At 51.9% G+C, this 4,972-nt stretch overlaps 1 long non-coding RNA gene, 1 other non-coding gene and 1 pseudogene across 2 annotated transcripts in view; 2 read left to right on the plus strand and 1 right to left on the minus strand.

Moving 5' to 3' along the window:
- The first annotated feature begins 974 nt into the window (after positions 1-974).
- On the plus strand, positions 975-1,055 carry MIR4477A (microRNA 4477a). The gene has a single exon (NR_039688.1). It is a non-coding gene; the product is annotated as a microRNA 4477a (primary transcript).
- Positions 1,056-4,358: 3,303 nt separating this feature from the next.
- LOC124902162 (uncharacterized) overlaps positions 4,359-4,972 on the plus strand; it is a 9,370-nt gene continuing 8,756 nt past the window's right edge. The window contains exon 1 of the long non-coding RNA XR_007061512.1: positions 4,359-4,499. This is a non-coding gene — a long non-coding RNA (uncharacterized LOC124902162). The remainder of the gene's footprint in view (positions 4,500-4,972) is intronic.
- On the minus strand, positions 4,660-4,777 carry RNA5SP530 (RNA, 5S ribosomal pseudogene 530; annotated as a pseudogene).

A 4,972-nucleotide genomic window follows, 5' to 3' on the forward strand; every position in this document is an offset into this window, starting at 1 on the left:
CAGTTTGAGGCTGCAGTGAGCTATGATCATGTCACTGCACTCTGGCCTAGGCGACAGAGCGAAACCCCATCTCAAAACAAAGAACAACCAAAAACCTAGAAGCACACCTCAGAGATAGTGTGGGTTTGGTTCCAGACAACTGCAGTAAAGCAAATGCTACAAACAAAAACCTACAAGCACACCTCAGAGATAGTGTGGGTTTTGTTCCAGACCACTTCAGTAAGGCAAATGTTACAATCAAGTTAGTTGCATAAACATTTTATTTCCCAGTGCTTATAAAAGTTATGCTTAAACTATATTGTAGTCTAATGAGTATTTAATAATTATTAATTAGTAATTAATAGCATGTCTAAAAAACTGTGTACATACCTTAAGTTAAAATACGTCAGTGCTAAAAAATGCTAATGAATATCTGAGCCTTACCAAGTCATAATCTTTTTGCTGGTGAGAGTCTTGCCTCTATATTGATGACTGCTGGCTAATCAGTGTGGGGGCTGCTGAAGGTTGGAAGCCTGTGTCAATTTTTTAAAACAATGAAGTTTGTTCCTTTCACCAAAGATTTCCCTGTAGCATGTGATGCTGTTTGACAGCATTTTATCAACAGTAGAACTTCTTTCAAAATTGGAATAAACCCTCTCAAACCCTGCTGCTGCTTTATCAACTAGGTTTATGGAATATTCTAAATCCTTTGTTGTCATTTCAACAATGTTGATAGCATCTCCACCTGGATTAGATTCCATCTCAAGAAAATATTTTCTTTGCTCGTCCATAAGAAGCAACTCCCTATTTGTTCAAGTTTCATCATGAGTTTACAGCAATTTCATCTCACCTTAAGGCCCTAATTCTAATTCTAGTTGTCTTGTGATTTCTACCACATCTGCAGGGACTTCCTCCACTGACATCCTGAGCCCTCAAAGTCATCCATGAGGGCTGGAATCAACTTCTTCCAAACTCCTGTTAATGTTAATATTTCATCCTCCTCCCATCAATCACAAATGTCCTTAATGGCATTTAAGGATTGCTATTAAGGACATTTGTGATTCACGGGAGGAGGTTCAAATATCATGAAAAGATTAATGGGGAATCCTTTCCAAAAGGTTTTCAATTCAGTTTATCCAGATTCATCAAAGAAATCACTATCTATGACAGCTATACCTTTACAAAATGCAATTATTAATTAATAAAAACACTTGAAAGTCAAAACCACTCCTTGATCCACAGGCTGAAGGTAAATATTGTACTAGCAGCCATGAAAATAACATTAATTTCCAAGTAAATCTCCATCTAAGCTTCTGGGTGGCTAGGTGAATTGTCAATAAGCAGCAATCTTTTTTTCTTTTTTCCTTTTCTTTCCTTTTATTTTTTCTTTTTCTTTCTTTTCTTTTCTTTTCTTTTTTTTTTTTTTGACTTAGTTTTGCTCTTGTTGCCCAGGCTGGAGTACAGTGGTACGGTCTTGGCTCACTGCAACCTCTGCCTCCAGGGTTCAAGCCATTCTTCTACCTCAGCCTCCCAAGTAGCTGAAATTACAGGTACTACCACCATCCCTGGCTAATTTTTTTGTATTTTTATTAGAGATGGGGTTTCATCATTTTGGCCAGGCTGGTCTTGAACTCCTGACCTCAGGTGATCCTCGGCCTCCCAAAGTGCAGGGATTACAAGTATGAGCCACTATGCCTGGCCAACCAACAATCTTTTTAAAAGAATCGTTTTTTTTTTTTTCTGAGCAGTAGGTCTCAATAGTGGGATTAAAATATTCAGTAAACCATGCTATTAACAGATGTGCTGTCACCCAGACAGTGATGTTCCATTTCTAGAGCACAGAAAGAATAGATTTTGCATAATTCTTAAGGGCCCTGAGATTTTCAGAGTGGTCAATGAGCACTGGCTGTAACTTAAAGTCACCAGCTGCAGTGGTCCTCAAAGAGAGTCAGCCCATCCTTTGAAGTTTTGAAGCCAAGCGTTGACTTCTCTCTAGCTATGAAAATTCTACATATTCACTAAGCTTAATCATTTCTAGCTCTGGACTTAAAGTGAGAGACTTGCAAGTCTTCCTTTCATTTGAGTTCTTTGAGGCCACTGTGGTTACTAATTAGCACCCCTGGTGGGTGTCACCCTCCTCCCTCCTCTATCGAGTTCACCTACACCGGGGCGTGGGGAAAGGCGCTTCCTGCACCCCACATGCCCTGCGCTCCTGGGGCTCTCCCACAGGGGGCTTTCATGAGCCAGGCAGCAAGGGCTCCTCCCTGTCCTCTTGGTGCTGTGGGCCCTGAAAGTTGTAGAGTGCGCCCGTCACTGTGGCAGGAGCAGTGGCGCTGAGCGTGCCCACGGGCCGCGGCTTGGGTCTCTCTCGTTTTCCAGGTGGTGTGGCCGTAGACAATGGCAGTGGCGCCTGGCTGGCCCAAGAGCCCAGTCCAGCTACGCCTGCCTGATTCCAGGCATCACCACCAACCCGGGGGCCGCGAGGCTGGGATCAGGCACCCCAGAGCCGCTTGCCTGTGGCCGGGCTGCTCTCCCCCTCTAAGCCCAAGCACCACCATCGCCGCGCTGTGCTTTCCGCCGACCTCCCAGAGCGTCCCGATGTCGCCGGCGGCCAGACCATGCGCGAGACAGCCCAGGCGCCAGAGGCCTCCATCCCCTGCCAGGGCTCTGGACTCTCCAGGCAGCCACCCTCTCGCTGAGACTCCAGGCCTTCCCCAGGCTCTTGAGCTCCCGAGCTTCCAACACCTGGGGCCCGCTTAGGACGGGGTGTGCTCCGAGGCGTCAGGGCCCGGGGCCCACGGTCCCGGGGTCCCCTCCGGTCCTCCGCCTTGCCGCGGAAAAATTATTTTGGATTCCTCACCGCCCCTCCTGCAAGGCCCCCTCTTGCCCCACACACCCAGAGCCGCCAGGGCTGCCCAGGGGCGAACAGCCGGCCCAGCCCCATGGGCCCTTTTTCTCACAATGCTCACACCATCTTCGCTTGTTCTGACGAGGACCCGCCATGGCCAAAGGGGCAAGAAGGCTCTGCTTTGCCCCGCCCTGGCACTAGAGCCCCGGCAGCCTCATCCCGGGAAAGAGGGGCTGACGGACACCCAGACACACCCCACCACTACCACGAACAAACCCACCCTGACACACACACGGATACACACGGGTGCATGCATGCAGACACACACACACACACACCACACCCGGGCACACACACAGACACACAAAGACACAGACACAGATAGCTTGAAGGGAGACCACCCCTCATATTGTGTTATGCCCAATTTCTGCCTCCAAAGAAAGAAGAAGTAAAATCTAAAAGGCAGAAATGAAATCCACAGGCAGACAGCCCTGCACCACACCCTGGGCCTGGTAGTTAAAGATCGACCCCTGACCTACTCGGTTATGTTATCTATAGATTACAGACATTGTATAGAAAAGCACTGTGAAAATCCCTGTCCTGTTTTGTTCTAATCTAATTACCTGTGCATGCAGCCCCTAGTCACGTACCCTCTGCTTCCTCAATCCATCACGACCCTCTCACGCGGACCCCCTTAGAGTTGTAAGCCCTTAAGAGGGACAGGAATTGCTCACTTGGAGAGCTCGGTTTTTGGAGACGTGAGTCTGCAGATGCTCCCAGCTGAATAAAGCCCCTCCTTCTACAACTCGGTGTCTGAGGGGTTCTGTCTGCAGCTCCTCCTGCTGCAGAAGGAGAGCAAGGGAGAGAGGGATGGAGAAGTAGAACCAGAGGGAGAGAGAGAGACAGAAAAGGGGGGAGGAGAGAGAGAGGGGGGAAGAGAGAGCACCACATTAGAGCGGGAGGTGGAGGGGGAAGTAGAGAAAGGGAGAGGGTGAGGGAGTTGTGGAGCGACAGCGACAGAGCCTTGGAGAGGGAGGCTCTGCTCAGGTAGACAGGGCACCTTTCAGCAGGCCGGGGTGGGGTGGAGGGTTCTTGGGCCGGGCTAGAACAGGGGGTCAGGGCCCCCCATCCAGGAAAACCAATGGAGCCCTGAGACGTGTTTTTTTTTCTTCGATTGGTTGGTTGCTTTGGGGGTGCGTTTCATAAGGTCCTTCCTTTGCTTCTTTCTGTCTCCTTGATGCGGTGGGCCCTGAGATTTGTAGAGTGTGCTCGTGTGTCTGGCGAGAGCCATGGCGCCGAGCCTGTCCACGGGGCGAGGCCTGGGTCTCTCTCCTTTCCTCCGGACTGGAGTTTACACGAAGTCGGTGGCATTGGGAAACAGGGTGCACAGGGACGGATTTCCTCGTGGCTGGCGAAGAAAATGTCCTTCCTCTGGGGAAAGCAGCCCTCGGGTTCTGGAGCTGAGGTCTTGGCTGGGGTCTGTGGCACCCGCTGCCCCTGCTCACCCCTTCCACCGGCTTGGACGGTTGCAGTGACGCTGAATGAATGAATACAATTGCCTGGGAGTCCAGGGAGCGTGAAGACACCCGGGACCTCAGGGAACCCGCGCCTGCACCCTCGGGGTCGGTCCCGTCCCGCCCGGGTTGGGTGGGGCTGCCGCGAGTCGGAAGAGGTGGGATGCTGCTGCCTGGCGGTGCTGCAGCGGCGGATCTTCAGTAGGAGGTCCTGGGCTTCGGCTGGGGCACGGGGGCGGTCAACGGGGAGCAGAGGCGGGGGGCAGTTGGGAAGCACGGAGACAAAAGGGGGAAAGAAGGAGGGAGCGGGAAGCCAAAAGTCTATGGTACCGCTATTACCAGGCGGAATCCCATCCAAGTACTAACCAGTCCCGACCCTGCTTAGCTTCAACAGATCAGAGGCGAGCGGGCGCATTCAGGGTGGTGTGGCCTAGACGCCAGCAGTGGCGCCTGGCTGCCTCAAGAGCCCGGCCCAGCCAAGCCCGCATGACTCCAGGCGTCACCGCCACCCCGGGGCCACGGGTCTCGGATCCGGGACCCCCAGAGGCGCTCGCCCGTGCCCCCGGGCAGCTGTCTCCCTCTACACCCGAGGACCGCCGGCCTCCCAGAGAGTCCCGCCGTCACCGGCGGC

This window comes from Homo sapiens, chromosome 9, assembly GCF_000001405.40.
Source record: "Homo sapiens chromosome 9, GRCh38.p14 Primary Assembly".
In the NCBI taxonomy this organism is placed as follows: domain Eukaryota; kingdom Metazoa; phylum Chordata; class Mammalia; order Primates; family Hominidae; genus Homo; species Homo sapiens.